The 19308-nt window shown below is 41.0% G+C and overlaps 1 protein-coding gene and 1 pseudogene across 9 annotated transcripts in view; one reads left to right on the top strand and one right to left on the bottom strand.

Moving 5' to 3' along the window:
• TUBGCP4 (tubulin gamma complex component 4) overlaps positions 1 to 19308 on the bottom strand; it is a 38671-nt gene that overhangs the window by 15520 nt on the left and 3843 nt on the right. For 8 of the 9 annotated variants that reach the window (NM_001286414.3, XM_011521454.4, NM_014444.5 and 5 more), the window contains exons 2-9: positions 18026 to 18154; positions 17627 to 17749; positions 17185 to 17238; positions 16349 to 16405; positions 14089 to 14168; positions 10748 to 10949; positions 8296 to 8461; positions 7922 to 8046 (exon numbers count right to left, since the gene is read on the bottom strand). In NM_001286414.3, the coding sequence (NP_001273343.1) occupies positions 7922 to 8046; positions 8296 to 8461; positions 10748 to 10949; positions 14089 to 14168; positions 16349 to 16405; positions 17185 to 17238; positions 17627 to 17749; positions 18026 to 18154 (936 nt within the window). Of the gene's footprint in view, positions 1 to 7921; positions 8047 to 8295; positions 8462 to 10747; positions 10950 to 14088; positions 14169 to 16348; positions 16406 to 17184; positions 17239 to 17626; positions 17798 to 18025; positions 18155 to 19308 lie in introns of those variants that run through there. The other variant, XM_011521455.3, reaches the window with a different exon arrangement.
• Positions 2525 to 2868, top strand: RN7SL487P (RNA, 7SL, cytoplasmic 487, pseudogene; annotated as a pseudogene).

Genomic DNA, 19308 nt, shown 5'->3' with positions numbered 1-19308 from the left:
ATTAGCCAGGCATGGTGGCAGGCGCCTGTAGTCCCAGCTACTTGGGAGGCAGACACAGAAGAATCACTTGAACCCAGGAGGCAGAGCTTGCAGTGAGCCGAGATTGCACCACTGCACTCCAGCCTGGGCAACAGGGCAAGACTCTGTCTCAAAAAAAAAAAAAAAAAATAGTGAGAAAATATTTGTAAGTCACATATCTGTTAAAGAACTTAAATTCAGAATACATAAAGGACTCTCAAAATTCGACAACAAGAAAACAAAAACCCAGTATAAAATAGGCAAAGAGGCACATGAAAAAATGTTCAACCTCATTAGTCATTACAGGCATGCAAATGAAAAAGACAGTGGGGAATCCCAGCATTTTGGGAGGCCAAGGTGGGCAGAGCACAAGGTCAAGAGATCGAAACCACATTTTGTTAATCGTAAATGTGGCACATATACACCATGGAATACTATGCAGCCATAAAAAATGGTGAGTTCATGTCCTTTGTAGGGACATGGATGAAACTGGAAACCATCATTCTCAGCAAACTCTCACAAGGACAAAAAACCAAACACCGCATGTTCTCACTCATAGGTGGGAATTGAACAATGAGAACACACGGACACAGGAAGGGGAACATCACACACCGGGGACTGTTGTAGGGTGGGGGGACCGGGGAGGGATAGCATTAGGAGATATACCTAATGCTAAATAACGAGTTAATGGGTGCAGCACACCAACATGGCACATGTATACATATGTAACAAACCTGCACATTGTGCACATGTACCCTAAAACTTAAAGTATAATAATAATAAAATTAAAAAAAAAAGAGATCGAAACCATCCTGGCCAACATGGTGAAACCCCATCTCTACTAAAAATACAAAAAACTGGCTGGGCGTGGTGGCGGGTGCCTGTAATCCCAGCTGCTCGGGAGGCTGAGGCAGGGGAATCGCTTGAACCCGGGAGACGGAGGTTGCAGTAAGCAGAGACCGCGCCACTGCACTCCAACCTGGAGACAGAGCAAGACTCCGTCTTAAAAAAAAAAAAAAAAGACATTGGGAAGCCACCCAAATATTTATCAAGGATGAATGGATAAACACACTGGTATAAACAATAGAATACTAGTAAGTAATATAAAGGAATAAACCATTGATAAATGCAACATGGGTTCATCTCAAAATAATTATGCTGAGTAAAAGAAGCCTGGTCTCCTCCTCCAAAAGAGTGCATACTGTATGATTTCATTTTTATCAACTCTAGAAAGTGCAGACTAACCTAGAGTGACAGGGAGTAGATCAGATCAGTGGCTGCTTGGGGACTGTCAGGGTAGGAAGAGTGGGATGAAAGCACACAGAAAGGTTGCAGATAAAGGATGGAAGAGTGTATCAGGTAAATATGATTTGAAAGGAAGCTGGATAGTGATCTTAGTAACTAACAAAATAGAATCTAAGTAAAGAATATATTAGGCCAGGTGTAGTGGCTCATGCCTGTAATCCCAGCACTTTGGAAGGCCGAAGCGGGCAGATCACTTGAGCTCAGCAGTTCGGGATCAGCCAGCACAACATGGCGAAACCCCATCTCAACTAAAAATACAAAAATTAGCCGGGCGTAGTGGCACATGCCTGTAACCCCAGCTACTCAGGAGGCTGAGGCAGGAGAATCGCTTGAACCCGGGAGGCAGAGGTTGCAGTGAGCCGAGATCACGCCACTGCACTCCAGCCTGGGTGACAGAGCAAAACTCCGTCTCAAAACAAAACAAAACAAAACAAACAAACAAACAAAAACCAGACCTGTATTAGTCCATAAAGAAACCTGCAATAGATTCCAAAGAAACAATATAATTCAGACTATGTTCTCCAACTATAATGCAATAAAATTAAAACAAATTCCTTGGTTAAAAAATCATAAACAAAATTAATTAGAATTATATAGAATATAATGAAAACACTACATGCCAAAAACTTGTGAGACACAGTCAAAACAATATGTAAAGTTTTATATATATTTCTCAGAAAACACAGGTTAAAAATAAAGGAGTCAAGCTTTCAACCTGGGAAAGAGTAAAAAAAAAAACACGAAGGAAGAAACTAATAAAGAAAAAGGCAGATATCAATGAAACACAGAATTCAAACAAAAAAAAATATGTGTGTGTGTGTGTGTGTGTGTGTGTGTGTGTGTGTGTGTGTGTATCTCTATTTTATTTTATTTTGAGACGGAGTCTTACTCTATTGTCCAGGCTGGAATGCAGTGGCACCATCTCAGCTTGCTGCAACCTCTGCCTCCGAGGTTCAAGCAATTCCCCTGCTTCAGCCTCCCGAGTAGCTGGGACTATAGGCACGCACCACTGCACCTGGCTAATTTTTGTAGTTTATTTTAGTAGAGACAGGGTTTCGCCATGTTGGCCAGGCTGGTCTCAAACTCCTGACATCAAGTGATCTGCCTGCCTTGGCCTCCCAAAGTGCTGGAATTACAGGCATTAGCCACTGTGCCTGACCCCAAAATATATATTTAAAAAATAAAATTAAAAAAAGAAAAAGCCTGGTGGGCGCAGTGGTGCATGCCTACAGGCCCAGTTACTTGGGAGGCTGGGGCAGAAGTTTCACTTGAGTCTAGGAATTCTGGGCTGTAGTGTGCTACACCAATCAGGTGTCCACAATAAATTCGGCATCAATACGGTGACCACCTGGGAGTGGGGGACCACCAGGTTGCCTAAGAATGGGTGAATTGGCCCAGGTCAGAAATGAAGCAGGTCAAAACTGCAGTGCTGAGGTGTTGTGGCTCACATCTGTAATCCCAGCACTTTGGGAGGCTGAAATGGGATGACTGCTTGAAGCCAAGAGTTCTAGACCAGCCTGGGCAACATACTGAGACTCCGTCTCTACAAAAGAGTTTAAAATATAGCAGGGCATGGTGATTTGCACCTGTAATACTAGCTACTCAGGAGGCTGAGGGAGGAGGATTGCTTTACCCTAAGAGTTCAAGATTATGGTGAGCTATGATGACATCACTGCACTCCAGCCTGGGAGATAGAACAAGACCCTGTCTCTGGGGGAAAAAAAGAAAATGAAAGGCCAGGTGCTGAGGCTCATGCCTATAATCCCTGTACTTTGGAAGGCTGAGGCAGAAGGGAAGATTGCTTGAGCCCAGGAATTGGAGGCTGCAGTGAACTAGGATTATACCACTGCACTCTAGCCCGGGCGACACAGTAAGAAGAGTAAGAAGAATAAGACTGTGTCTCAAAAAAAAAAAGAAGAAAAGAAAAGAAAAAAAAAAGAAAAGAATTAGCTGGGCATGGTGGCATGCACCTCTAGTCCCAGCTACTTGGGAGGCTGAGATGGGAAAATTGATTGAGCCTGGAGATCGCGCTGCAGTGACTCATCATTGCACCACTGCTCTCCAGCTTGGGTGACAGAGCGAGAAGCTGTCTCTACAAATTTTTTTTAAATTAAAGAAAAAGCCAGGCCCAGTGGCTCACGCCTATAATCCCAGCACTTTGAGAAGCCGAGGCAGGTGGATCACTTGAGGTCAGGAGTTCGAGACCAGCCTGGCCAACATGGTGAAACCCCATCTGTACTAAAAATACAAAAATTAGCTGGGCGTTGTGGTGCACGCCTGTAATCCCAGCTACTCAGGAGCTGAGGTGGGAGAATCCCTTGAACCTGGGAGGTGGAGGCTGCAGTGAGCTAAGATTGCATCAATACACTCCAGCCTGGGCCACAGTGAGACTCTGTCTCAAAAAAAAAAAAAAGAAAAAAGAAAAAAGATTAAAAACAAAAGCTTGTTCTTTGAAAAGACTAATAAGACTAAACAATAAAAAGAAATTCTAAATAAATAAAACATAAATGACTAGATTTTTTTAAATTAAATCTAGATGAAATAGGTAAATTCCTAGAAAATACCAAAATTAATACAAGAAATACCTGTTTTATGTCAATAGGTTTTAAATACACTGAACTAGGTAAGTTTTCCCTCCTAAAAATATCTAGCTTAGATTATTTTTCAGGTAAATTCAAACTTTCAGTAAGAATTCCTGTCTTATATAAACTGTTCTAAAAAATAGAAAAAGAACAAAACCTAACTAGCCCATTTTATGAGGACTGTAGAATCTTTATTCCAAAACCACATAAGCAAAATACAGGAAAAGAAGGGTACAGTCTTATTTCATAGTGACATGATTTGGCTGTGTCCCCACCCAAACCTCATCTTGAATTGTAGCTTCCATAACTCCCACGTGTTGTGGGAGGAACCCGGTGGGAGGTGATTGAATCATGGGGGTGGTCTTTCTCATGCTGTTCTTCTGAGAGGGAATAAATCACTCTTATAAAGGGGTGATTTACTTTATAATAAATTATATATTTTATATATTTTTATAGTATTTTATAAAGGGGAGTGCCCCTACAGAAGCTCTCTTGCCTGCTGCCACGTAAAACCTGACTATGCTCCTCATTCGCCTTCAGCCATGACTGTGAGGCCTCCCCAGCCATGTGGAACTGTGAGTTCATTAAACCACTTTCCTTTATAAATTACCCAGTCTTGGGTATGTCTTTATTAGCAGCATGAGAACAGACTAATACAACTAGTGAATACAGATGTAAAACATCCAATCAAGTAGTGTTTATCTCAGGAAGAATCAGTATCTCAAAATCTAACCAGAAATTTATCATATAAATAGACTAAAGGAGAAAAATAACCCAGAGCAAGAAACTGAACCTTAATTGACACAGAAAGAGCAGTTGATAAAATTCAACATCTACTTATGATAAAAAGCTCTGGACTGGGTATGGTGGCTCACAGAAGGACCACCTGAGCCGAGGAGTTCAAGACCAGCCTGGGCAACACAGCAAGACTCCATCTCAAAAAATAAAAATAAAAATAGAAGGAAAGTTCTCTCATTTGCAGATAGTATGATCATCTACTTAGAACAACTGATAGAATCAGACTATTACAACTAAAAAGAGTTCAACACGTTGCAAGTTATAAGATTAACCACAAAAAGTAATACCACCATTTCTCTATGTAAGCAGTAAAAACTAAAGACATAATTAAAATGAAAACTATTAAGTACCTCAGAATTTTTAAAACCTTTTGTTGAAGTACCAAAATACATACAGAAAAGTACAAGTCGTAAGTTCACAGCTTGAAGATTTTTACAAATTGAACACCTGTATTACCAGCACCCAGATCAAGAAATGGAACGAACTGAGTGTTGCCAGCACCCTAGAAGCCCCACTCATGCCCCTCCCATTGACTCAAAGGCAAATATAGTCCTGACCTCTAGCGCCAGATTCACTTTGCCTGTTTTTGAACTTTACAGAAATAGATTCACATAGTATACACACTTTAAAGAAAAAAATTTTTAAAGGAGAGAAAGAATCCCAAAAGGGATAAATATAACACATATTTACAAAACACTCCCCCCTTTTCCTTCAGGGCACAGCTTTTCATTGCTGTAGGCTGTTATTGTTGCAATAATGCTTCCAAAGTCTATTAACTACAATTCTAAGAAACTTCAAAGAGTCTGTGCTTTAGTTTGCTTATCATTTTTACAAATTGGAAATATAATTTCTAGCAAACTTTCACAAGAAAAAACAATTTTTCTATTGTTTATAATTCAGTCAGTACAATTTTACTTTCTTCCATTAATTATACTTTCCAAAGATTTATAATAAAAATGATAAAGCAACAGAACTAGATTCAATTTTCAAAAATGAAAGGAACTGATACCAACCCCTCTAGACTAGAAACTGCCTTGGCCTATAGACGGGGTTGAAGCAATGTCTTAAAATTTTGAAAGGACAGGAACATGGGTCATTTAGATATTTACTTGCCCAGAAAGATTCAAATCAAATGATACTTCACAGCCATTTTAAGATCGAACATTCTGTGTCTATATCACAGCTCTACCTCTGATGACCAGGAGTTTTTGAGACAGTGACTAGAAAGGGAAACCATATTTATAATAGATTACTGTGCTTCTAACCCATGGAGATTTGATGCTCTTAGCAGTTCCAGACACTGAACGAAGTGCACTGCTTTTTAGTCCTGTCTGTTTCAAAAACCCCTGTAGAGGTTTGTCTTTGGTGGGTGGACTGGCTTGCTTAAATAGAAGTACCTGCCGGGCGTGGTGGCTCACACCTGTAATCTTAGCACTTTGGGAGGCCAAGGCAGGAGGATCACTTGAGCCCAAACGTTCAAGACCAGCCTGGCCAACATGGTGAAACCCCCATCTCTATTAAAATACAAAAAAGTTTGCCAGGCATGCTGGTGCAGGCCTGCAGTCCCAGCTACTCAGGAGGCTGAGGCACGTGAATTGCTTCAACCCGGGAGGCGGAGTTTGTAGTGAGCCGCGACTGCTCCACTGCACTTCAGCCTGGGTGACAAAGCAAGACCCTGTCTCAAAAATAAAATAAAATAAAGGTACCTACCCTCTCCTGACCTATGAATCAGAAGCTCTGGAAGTAAGGACTTGGTGCAAGTGCAGGTTTTAAAATTTCCTCATGCGGGCCAGGCGCAGTGGCTCACATCTATAATCCCAGGACTTTGGGAGGCTGAGGTGGGAGGATCACTTGAGCTCACGAGTTTGAGACCAGCCTGGCCAACATGGTGAAACCCCATCTCTACTAAAAATACAAAAATTAGCTGGGCATGGTGATGTGTGCCTGTAATCCCAGCTACTTGGGAGGCTGAGGCGGGAGAATCGCTTGAACCCAGGAGGCAGAGGTTGCAGTGAGCCGAGATCACACCATTGCACTCCAACCTGGGTGACACAGCAAGACTCCATAAAAAGATAAAAAATAAAAAATAAAATTTTCTCATGCGATTCTATGCTTAGCCAATGTTGAAAGCCAGGAATATAGTTAACAACACAGCTGACTAAATGTCTCATTTCGTGTTATCACATATCCATGAGACAAATGTTAATATAAGCCACAGAACATATATGCTCCTTTGAAAAATTACTGGTCACAATTTAAGTCGGTGGCACCAGCACAATTCAAAATGAAGAAGACTGTGCACCAGGAGTCGGAGGCCTGGCACTGACCTCACTATGGCTACTCACTGTGCCACACCAGGCAAGCCAGACAAGTCAGCTTGCTGAGTGTTTGCTTCATTTATAAGAATGAGAAAATAATATTTGTTCTGCTTTCCTCATAAGATGATTGTGTATAGAAATGAAAGTATAAGTTATGAGCCATACTAAACTACAAGACACAAAATTTAGTCAGAATTAGTTGATTCCTAGGAGTTATTGCAAACGATAGAGACAGATCCAAAATGCTGATTTTCAGAATTTAAACCAAGATCCCCCCTTTATTCAACTAACTAACCAACTAAAAACCACCTGTCTTTTAGTTAGATAGGAAAATGGGAAGGCAGTTCTGCCTCTGTTAATGAAAACAGAGGCTTTTCTTTTCTACTTTCTGCCTTCAACTCTCTGCAACATTTCTTTCCAAGCTCGGTTCTTAACTCATCAAGACATCAAGATAAAAACAAAAGTCAAGTAACTCAGTGTCTTTTTTTTTTTTTTTTTTTTTTTTGGAGACAGAGTCTTGCTCTGTTGCCCAGGTTGGAGTGCAATGGTGTGATCTCGGCTGACTGCAACCTCCGCCTCCCGGGTTCAAGCGATTCTCCTGCCTCAGCCTCGTAAGTAGCTGGGACTACAGGTGCATGCCACCACACCCGACTAATTTTTGTATTTTCAGTAGAGACGGGGTTTCACCATGTTGGCCGGGCTGGTCTTGAACTCCTGACCTCAGATGATCCACTTGCCTTGGCCTCCCAAAGTGTTGAGACTGCATGCGTGAGCCACTGCGCCCGACCAAGTAACTCAATTTCTAGGAAACTAGTCCAATTTTGCCTAAGAAAAAAAAAAAAAAAAAAAAAAATATATATATATATATATATATATATATATATACGATGAAACACAAACCTCAGCCACAGTGCTGCGAATGCGATCCACCACCTGTTCAAAGTCCACCAAGCTGAAGAGTGGCTGCTGCTTGAGACGGTGCAGCTCTGCAGCAAAAGTGTCTTCCTGGTTTTTCAAAATGGATCCTGCAAAATAGGAAGACACCGTCAAAGGAGGACGGAGAATACCCAGGACAGTTAGGGTTTTCTGGGGAGGGCTAATCTCAGTGGGGCAGCAACTTCACCTGCTTCTCAGACAAACGTCATGATTCTGCTACAATCTCAGGATAGGAATATTATCGACCACTCGCTCTGACCAGGCATGCTGTGGGGCCACATAGTATTAAGGAAGAAGAGATTTTGAGGGTGTGGTACATTGGACAAGGAGATTTCTACCTTTTCTAGTCAGGTTCACATTTTGATTCTCAAACATCTGGACAGATTCTCCAACAAATAGGATTTTTTCAGCAACCCTCACTGGAATGTAGGATGGCAAAATCTCCACTCGTAGGGAAAACTGCTTCAGAGATGGTGCCAGCATGTTCTCTTCCTCAATCAGGCGCTAGTCAAGGAAAGAGTACACATCGAGATGCAGTGTGAAGCAAGAAAAGGAAAACAAGAAAATACCTAGTAACTCTCCCAACCCATGATTTAAAATAAAGACGCAGGGACTTCAAATCTGGTGTTGCACAGTTCTCAAACCACCCATTTTGGAGAGATGTATTTCATCTTCAGGCAGCAGAGTGGCATGGTGGAAATAAGAGTGGCTTAAATACTGGGATTTGGGCCCTCACTCTGCCTTTACTACTGAGTAAAAACTTGCACAGTCGACCAGCTTCCTTACTTGTACGATGAAAGAGGTGGTCTTTTTTGTTTTCCAGGTCTTCTCTCTATGTCTTCTCTGCTGGTGCTCCTCAGGGCACTGTCCCAGACTGTCTTTTCCTCTCAGCCTACACTTCCTATACAATCACATCGTCTTCTGTGACTGATCAGTGTAACAGATAGTTTTAATTTTTAGGTCACAGACCTCTCTGCAATCATAAAAGCTATGGATCTTCCAGACAAATGTACAGACATATAACATTTCATGAACCTCCTGAAGCCACCCAAGGGCCCCAGATTAAAAACCTCCAAGCCCCATGCTGATGATTCCATATGTAGATTTAAAGTAAGCTGGAGTGCTCTCATGAGCCCCAGGCTCAGCCCACTGAACATTTCCCACAAGTTCCTCAAACTCAACATGCCCCCCATTAGACCCATCTTCTTCCCCGCATACCAGCAGTATACACCCCTATCGTCACTACTTGCCCAGCTGCTGAAGGCAGAAACCTGGGTATCATCAATGATTCTTCCCTCTTGACTCATTTCCAAGCACTCACTAAGCCTACTGATTCCACCCTCTAAACATCTCTCACACCTCTTTGCTCTTTTTTCATATTCAATGTTAGTATCTTTGGTTTAGGGGACTATTATTTTCACCTAAGTCTCCCCAACACTCTCTTAACTGATCGACCTGCCTCTAATCTTGATTTTTAAAAAATGATTCCCCACACAGCATCCAGAGTGATTTATCATGAAGTCTGACTGTGGTACCCACTTGCTTAAAATTCAATAGCCCCCAACTCTTTTCAGGTTCAAGTACAAACTCATTTCCACTGTTTACATGCACCTTTGTGATCTTGCCTCTGCTTAACTCAAGTTTCATCAAGTACCAACTTACACAGTTTCAAGTACCACCTCTCCCTCACACCATCTCTTGTAACATTTTACTTCAGCCTTTATTTGATCATTTCAATTGAATTACTACTGTTTCCCCAAATGAACCATGTCCTTAATGGCCCCTGTACCTTTACACATATCATTCCTTCTGCCTGGATGTCTCTTGATGGCTCCTCCCAAACTCTTTGCAATTTAGACATACCTTCCACTGAAAAGCCTTCCCTAGTCACTCCAAGACCCTATCCCATGACCATGTTCCAAGAATACCCATATTTAGTCTTTTCAGAGCCCTTAGCACACTGTAATGTAACTGTTTACTTTTCTATATCTCTTCCCCTAAACTATGAGCTCCTTAGGGACAGACACTACTACTTTTTATTTGTAGCACCTAGAACAATGCCTAGCACATAACAGGCATTCAATGAAATATTGCCACAGGATAAATGAATGAATGGATGGATGGATGAATGGATGAATATGGACAATGTAGAACTTTGAGGAGTCTAATCAAAACACCAAACTGGCCAGGCACGGTGGCTCATGCCTGTAATCCCAACACTTACAGGCCGAGGCGGGTGGATCACCTGAGGTCAGGCGTTCGAGACCAGCCTGGCCAACATGACAAAACCCTGTCTCTACTAAAAATATGAAAATAAAAAATATGAAAATTAGCTAGGCATGGTGGCACATGCCTGGTTCCAGGTACTTGGGAGGCTAAGGCAGGAGAATTGCTTGAACCTGGGAGGCAGTGGCTGCAGTGAGCCAAGATTGCGCCATCGCACTCCAGCCTGGGCGATGGGTGAGAATCTGTCTTTAAAAAAAAAAACAAAACTCCAAACTGTATTTAAAATCTAAAATGTAGCTAGCTGCTCCATTAGAGTAGCTACATAAGTAAGACTTATAATCTCTCAAATGCATATATTGGGAAAGAGGAAACAAAAAGAATATCACAAACATATTTTCTATTTTATAGTCTCACACTAGTTAAGATAAAGCCGAATGTTTACATCGAAAGGATTGATGGAAGGTGCTCAGCTATGAGCTAAGAAGGGATCACCAGAAGATCATTTGTGTGCATGCTTTTCTGACTCCTGGCAGGAGAGTGCTAGGCTACTTTTTGGGCTCTCACCAAGTCCTGCAGTTCTCTCAGTTGTTTTCCTGTCAGTCCCCCAATGCCCAGATCCTCCTCGTCCTCTTCTGGCTGGGCACTGACATTACCAGAAGATGGCCCCTGTTTGATAAAGAATTCTTCATGCTGGTCCAAGAGGAGTCCATGGAGCATCCAGGCTGAGAGCTGTTTATACATGACCCCATGACAAACGGCCAGGATTCTGGGCAGAGTAGAAAGTAAGAGGCTCAGAAGTCATGCTTTAAACTGTTACAGGATAAACAGAGGCCTGAGAATTTGATGAGTCATAACAGAAATAACCAATTAAGTTAAAAATAATTGTGCTATTTTAATTTAAATGTGGGTGAACTAACTCACTGAATTTCCATATTTGCAGCCTACACAATGAAATCTAAAATGTTCAGTATATGTGCTGATATTATTTTAGGGAAGACATTTTCTTCCCTTCTTTTATGTAATTTTCAAAACTGATGGGTCCTAAATATGTACAACTGTTTTATAGCAATAAAAAATAAAAATAATAAAAAATTTTAAAAATCGACTTAATGGAGTCTCTTTTTGGCTAACACAGTATTAAATTTGTTTTATTTTTGTTGGAATCACTTAGGGAGAGAATATTCAATACGTGAGTGCCAGGTATACATGAAAAACCATTATCTAGCAAAATTCAGAAACTAAAACAAAATGCAGAATGGTTGTTGGGGAATAGGATATTCAGATGGTCTCAAAGGATCACCCACCAGATAGCATATTAATTAAAAAGGGGAAAATGTACCTCTATAATGGAGCAGGACGTGATGAAAACACCTAAGCCAAGTGATCCAACTTCATAACATCCGTGATGGGATAAAGTTACTTTCTGTACCTTCTAATATGATGTAATGGGAAATAATATCACCTACATAGTATTCTTGCCAAAAAATGTTTAATCTGAATCTAATCATAGGGAAACAATAAATCCAGATTGTGAAACATTATACAGGACAGCTGGTCAGGACTCTTAAAATGTCAGCGTCATCCAAAACACCAAGAACAACAAAAGGCAAGGGGGACGGTTCTAAATTAAAGGAGACTAAAAAGACATGAGAACAAAATGTAGTATGTGAACACTGATCGGATCCTGGATTGCAAAAAAAGAACAGCTATGAAGGAATTCTGAGGGACAACTAGAAAAATTTGGATATAGTATTACTGAATTAATGTTAACTTTCTTGGGTGTAATATGGAATTGATGTTCTATAAGAGAATCCCTTTTTCTTTTATTTTTCTTTTTTTCTTTTTTCTTTTTTTTTTGAGACAGGGTCTCACTCTGTTGCCCAGGCTGGAGTGCTGTAGCACGATCATGGCTCACTGCAGTTTCGACCTCCTGGACTCAAGCCACCCTCCCACCTCAGCCTCCTAAGTAGCTGGGCCCACAGGCGCACACAGCATGCCTACTTTTTTTGTATTTGTAGAGACGGGGTCTCACTATGTTGCCTGGGCTGGTCTCCTAGGCTCAAGCTATCCACCCACCTTGGCCTCTCAAAGTGCTAGGAATACAGGTGTGTGCCACCATGCCCAGCCAAGAATGCCTTTTTTCTAAAGTGATACAAGCTGAAGTATTTAAGTGTTAGGGTATCTGTGACTACTTTCAAATGACTCTGCAAAAAAATTTGTGCATTTCACATATACGTATAGAAGGAGAAAAAGAGAAATCAAACGTGGCAAATGTTAACAAATGGTGAAACTAAAGGATACACTAGCGTTTGGTTGGTTTTTTTTGTTTTTTGTTTTGAGACAGGGTCTCATTCTGTCATCCAGGCTGGATTACAGTGGCGAGATCTCAGCTCACTGCAGCATCAACCTCCTGGGCTAAAGCAATCCTTCTGCCTCAGCTTCCCGTAGCTGGGACTACAGGCAGGCACCACACCTGGCTAATTTTTTTATTTTTGGTACAGACAGGGTCTCGCTATGTTGCCCAGGCTGGTCTCGAACTCCTGGGCTCAAGCGATCCCTCTGCCTCAGCCTTCCAAAGTGCTGGGATTACAAGCGTGAGCCACCGAGCCCAGCCTACAAGTGTTTTATTATACGTTTCTTTCAACTTTTTTGTAGGTTTAAAATTTTTCAAAATAAAAGGTTGGGAGAAAAAGAAATTACAAGAACTTGACTGTGTTATTTAACTGAATGGAATCTCTCTTTAAAAAGATCAAATGTGAAGCTATTTACATTTATGCATTTCTGAGTATGTGGTCTGTAAAGTTTGGTCCCTGCAAACACAGAACAAACATGTATATATAGTATCATCTACATTAGATTTTATATTCTATACACAAAAGTATAATAGAGAATTAAGTCCCTAAGGAATGTTCTGGAGGATTTACTCATGCAGTGGTTAGAGTGGAGATTAAGAGTTGTGAGTGGCCGGGTGCGGTGGCTCACACCTGTAATCTCAACACTTTGGGAGGCCAAGATGTGAATATCGGTTGAGCCTAGGAGTTCGAGACCAGCCTGGGCAACATAGCAAAGCCTTCTCTCTACAAAAAATTAAAATAAAATAAGAAAAAAAGAACAAAACAGAGTTGTGAGTGGCCTCAGGGATCATCTATTATAATTTTTCAATGAATGTCACAGTTTTTTTAAAATAAGGAAAATGGATAAATGGAAAGCTCAAACAGGCAGTCTTTGATTATACTCTACATGTTTTCATATTGTTGTAATCACAAGATAAATACAATTTTGTATCATTTGTCAGTACATATTTATATAAAATAGTTTACATGTTATAGTACCTACACTTTTAGTGGCTTTATAGTCTATCAAGTGAATATATCATCATTTAAATTTTTTTCTACTGTTGGTAATTTTCTAATTTCCTGATATAGTAGACAACATTGCAATGAACACGTTTGTGCATATAGTTATTTTCTTCTATTAAATAGTTTTGTTAGGATAAAATTCCCAAGAGTGGCATTATGGGATTATAAAGCATAAACATTTTTAAGGACCTTCAATTTGAAAATACCAGCTACTCAAATACACATGTTTAGACACAGCAAGCAACATCTGGCACATGTAATGGAATTCCTGCAAGGATAACAGGATCTAAACATTTAAAAAGATTGCCTCAAGGTCATCCAGGCACCTAAATCCTGGCTTTGTCACTCAACACTCTATAGCCCTTTTTGCAAGGCCTGAGCCATAATAAAGGTTACATGGGCTCCTCTGCTCATGGAGCTTTTTCTATCCTGGTTATAACCTTCCCAAGAGGGAAACCTGAAATGACCTGAAAATAAAACATGTGAGAAGTCAAATAATTTGACCACCCACCTCCACCACCAATTCCCAGTTAAGCCATGACTTACTTTTCCAGTGCACTTCGAACAGGAGGCAACCCCCCACAGCTGTGTTTGTAGACTGTTTCCAGGATTTGACAACCATGAATCTGTGGAAAATACGGCCTTGTCAAACTGGATTCCATTCTAAGAGTCCATGCAAGACACATTCTTATTCCATATTCAACCAAGAGGGCACAATCTAGGAGAGACTGGGGATAAACTTTCTCCTAAGATTTACACATAGTGGTTCTCAAAGAGGGACCTCTCTCCCATCAGCAGCATGACCTGGAGACTCATCAGACATGCAAACTCTTGGTTAGAACCCAGCACTCAGTGTTTCCACAAGCCCTCCAGGTGATTCTAATGCACAGTAAAGTGTGAGAACCACTGCACTTAAAGCAACCAGAATCATTTAGAGTTGGAACACCAAAGCCAAGGAAAGCTTTTTATTTCAAGTTAAGGCCCAATTCAGTCTACTTCTAAGGTATATACTTTTTCAAAAATCCTCTGCCTCTATGTTCTTCAGACTTTTTTTTTTTTTTTTTTTTTTGAGACGGAGTCTTGCTCTGTCGCCCACGCTGGAGTGCAGTGGTGCAATCTTGGCTCACTACAAGCTCTGCCTCCTGGGTTCACACCATTCTCCTGCCTCAGCCTCCCGAGTAGTGCGACACAGGCACCCGCCACCACGCCTGGCTAATTTTTTTTGTATTTTTAGTAGAGACAGGGTTTCACTGTGTTAGCCAGGATGGACTCAATCTCCTGACCTCGTGGTCCGCCCGCCTCGGCCTCCCGAAGTGCTGGGATTACAGGCGTGAGCCACCATGCCCGGTCCCCAGACTTTTATTTTTACCACTTTGAGGTATAATTTACAATGAAATTCACCCATTTTAAGCATACTAATAAACAATTTTTAGTAAATTTCAAACACTGGGCAACCATTACCACAATCCAGTTTTATAACATTTCCACTACTCCAAAAAGCGCCTTTGTGCCTGTCTGCAATCAATCTCCATTCTCAACCCAAACCTAGAATTTTGACCACCTGATTTTAAAAACTCTGAAGAGCCTTGGTACACTAGTTTCTCTACCACTATTCTGGCAGGGAGGAAGATTCAGCCATCTGCAATCCCCCTATTTTCCACTCTCCTTCCTATAGCCAGCGGAAGTTGAAGGCCAACTGAGACGTGCAGCTAGGCCTGGCTCCCTTATGCTGTCCTCATTAACTCTATTTGCCTAGAATGTCTCCTTTTATTTTGGGAGATAGTTTAATCTAGTGGTTAAGAGCACACTCTTTGGAGCCAGATAGAGCTGGGATATAAACCCATTTACTACTATCTGTGTGACACTGGGCACACCCCTTAACCAACTTAGCCCTTTAGTGGATTGTGTGTGATAATGTATTTAAAGCACTTAGCACAGTGCCTAGTACACAGCCAGTGACAGTAAAAGCTGGATGTTGTTATTTGATGAGGACAATCAGCTTTGAAGGGCCAATGAGCACCCACCACTGGCTTTGCTGGCACAGCATGAACATAGCAGAGCACTGTTTCTACACTTACACAGTTAAAAATGATGCAGCAATGTGGCAGATTAACTGGTTTACTAGTTACATTAATGAAAATGAACACCCCTAATAAGCTAAGGCACAAATAAAGAGCTTAAAAAAAATGACGACTTGAGCTAAAGATGTTTAATCCATTTGTCCACTTGGTCCAATTGTGGACCAATTCAATAGGACAGCAGATTCTTCTAATATGAAATCTCAAAGCATTTATTCCTCAGACTTATTAACTCTGCCCAGAAAGACATTCTCCTAACTTCTCAATACACCTGATAAAAACTTGTGATAAGAATAGGCATATTTATTAAACATCTGGCTTTCACTCACTGATCTCAAAATTCTCAGAAAACTGCCAGCACACTAACCATAAACCTATTACCTTCTTCCTAAGAATTAACTTTCTGCTTCACACCCAACAGTTCTAAAACCTTACTGCAGGTTCCTCTCACCTGCAAACATCCACAGCACTTTTTTTCTTACCCCAACAACATTCTTGGGAACATCTATGAACATTTCCTCTACCTTCTGGACCAGGAGGTGTTTAAAGGCAGAGTCATACTTTTGCATTCCTGACACTTAACATGATAACCAAGCAGATATTGTTAAATGAATGAATAAATAAAAACTACTAAAAACTAGGGTCTTCGAAAAATAATGTAAAGCAAAATTAATTAGTAATATTCCCTCAGTGCTTAGCAAAGCAAAAGGAATAAGGAAAGTTCTCACCTTTTGACTTTTAATTTGTTCTACTACAACCATCACAGAGGGAAAAAGAAGCTGGAACTGCAAAGTAGAGAATAATTAGAAGGGTATGTAATCAAATGTAAGGGAAAAAAAATCAACTTGGGAAATGCTTTTGTTTCTAAATAGTTCAACTTAAGATAAAATGGCAATACCACAGAACAGTCAAGATCCAGCATCCTAAGGCAATTTGATGTGGAGGTTCGCTGCAGATAGGAAGAGGATGGCAGAGAGAGGCAGTTTCTTTTTTTTCTTTTTTCTTTTTTTTTTTTTTTTTGAGACAGGGTCTCACTCTGTCACCCAGGCTGGAGTATAGTGGTAGGATCCCAGCTCACTGCAACCTCCACCCCTGGATTCAGAACGTTAGCCTCCCAAGTAGCTGGGACTACAGGTGCACGCCACCACAACCGACTAATTTTTGTATGTTTAGTAGAGACAGGGTTTCACCATTTTGGCCAGGCTGGTCTCCAACACCTGACCTCAAGTGATCCAACCACCTCGGCCTCCCAAAGTGCTGGGATTAGAGGTGTGTACCACCATGCCCAGTCGGGAAGCAGTTTCTATTTCTGAGGCTGGCATACTTGTTAATACTGATGTCCATATAGAGCAGTAACATTAGCGTTAATATCAGACATTAAGTTTTAACTATATTTGGAAATCTTTAAACAGTTTTGATCTAGTAAAACATACAAAATGCACAAAATATAAAATGTTAGGCTCTGAATCCAGAAGAAAAAAAGTTCTCAAAAACAGTACCATAAATTAGATTATTCTAACACTATCAACAGATTGCAAGGCATTTGGTTATTTGGGCAGCATACCTGGTCTAGGAAGTAGTTGACATGTGATATGGAGAGATGGGGATCACCCAGGAACTGCAATAAAAAACTTTGTGATTAGAGCTCCACACAAAATATCTCAAATCTATTTGATCTATGAAAATGAGAAGAGAATCTCATGATGGGCTTAAGTGTTAATTTTAGGCTATCGAGAACTGATAATTTAATCAGGTTATTAATCCTGATTTTCGGGCCATAAAGAAACCAAGCCAGGGCTCTTATAAACTCACTAAAGAGTCTTTGCCATGATCTGTAAGCCACTCTGATCACAGGTTGGGCAATCACTGAGAGAACACTGTACCTTCCAGCCATGCAGGCAACTGCTCACTCTTAACTACCTGATCTTATCAAAGGGCATTTCAGATTCAAGAACATGCCCTAATCTACTGTCCCAGAGGTGTTTCCTATATCTCCTCCTTCTTACCTCTTGTTCCAAATCAAGCAGTGCTTGGCGATAAGGCTGCAAAACAGAATCCAGCCCTGTGCAGAAGGCCCGCAGGTAGATTCCATGTAACCCACCTTGGCCCTGTTGAGATGGATGGTGATCCTGAAATCAAACAAACAGAAGCCAACTTCTCAGCTCAGGCCCTGAAACCTGAGAAAGACATTATCAGGCTTGTTTCTTTTAAAAGTTATACAAACAAACCAATTAGAGGCCTTGCCTTCACTTGAATATTTCTAGTGATGAGAAATCCATAACTTATTTCACATGAATTACCGATAAATTCACTGAAAGCTTGACATAGCTCCTGCCCTCTAGAGGTGAAAGCTTGACATAGCTCCTGCCCTCTAGAGGTGTACACCCACAGAGAACAGGACCCACCTGCTGTTGCACATGGCCCGTGTACTGTTCAATGAACTCAGTGAAGCGAATATAGTCTGTGCCGAGCCGGCAGAGTCGATTCAGGACACTGGTCTCACTGGGGTGGAGGAAAGGGAAGTCCTGCGATACCTGCAGGAAGAGGAACACTGCCGAAAACACCGCCAGTCGCTGCCCCAACTTTCAGGTGCTTCAAACGCTTCATACTACACATTTATCGTTTTCTTTCTCAAGATGTCCACTTAAAGGTGTTAAGTTCTGGATAACAATGTATTTCCAAAGCACTTCAAAGGGGTTCCCTATCCCTGACCCAATTATTTGCTTCTTAAAATAGGTAACACATGCTAAATAATTTAAACAATATAAAATGGTGTACATTAAAAATAAGTCAACCACCCCAGAAGCAGCCGCTATTACCTGCTTCTTAAGCAATCTTCTAGGGATGGTCTCTAAGGATATGGGGGTTTTGACCTGGTTGCAACAAAGTCTCTTTAGCAATATTGCTCAAATGGGGGTCTGCAGACTCCATGGGTTTCTCAGACATATTCTTAGGATTTACAAATTCCCTATAGAAGTTTTCATTGTTTTCATTCCAGTAAAAATCTAAAATTAAGCATACCTATTATCTGTAAATGCACCTTATAACTGGCCATATATATTTAGTGTCCATATTTACATTTGTATTTTTAATTTAAATGAAAGCCAAATGATAGCCTAATATGCTATATACAAAGGTTTCACAGCAGTTCAGGTAGAAAAAAGTAGTGGGAAAATATATTCCTTCAACCAACTTTTTAAAAATACTGTGGTAAAATACGTATAATAAAATCTACCATTTTAGCTATTTTAAGTATATAGTTCAGTGGTATGAAGAACATTCACACTGTTGTGCAACCAGCACCACCATCCATCTCCAGAACTTTTTTGTTTGCCCCAAATGAAACTCCGTATCCAGCCCCTGCCAAACACCACTCTACTGCCTCTGACTTTGACTACTCTAGCTACCTCATATAAGTGGAATCACTCAGGTCGGGTACAATTGCTCACGCCTGTAATCCCAGCATTTCGGGAGGCCGAGGCAGGTGGATCACCTGAGGTCAGGAGTTCAAGACCAGCCTGGCCAACATGATGAAACCCTGTCTCTACTAAAAATACGAAAATTAGCCAGGCGTGGTGGTGGGCGCCTGTAATGCCAGCTACTTGGGAGGCTGAGGCATGAGAACTGCTTAAACCCGGGAGGCGGCGGTTGCAGCGAGCTGAGATTGCACCACTGCCCTCCAGCCTGG

Source organism: Homo sapiens, chromosome 15 (assembly GCF_000001405.40).
Source record: "Homo sapiens chromosome 15, GRCh38.p14 Primary Assembly".
NCBI classification, from domain to species: domain Eukaryota; kingdom Metazoa; phylum Chordata; class Mammalia; order Primates; family Hominidae; genus Homo; species Homo sapiens.
Note: the sequence above shows the minus strand (reverse complement) of the source record. Positions and strands in the feature narration are given on the sequence as shown.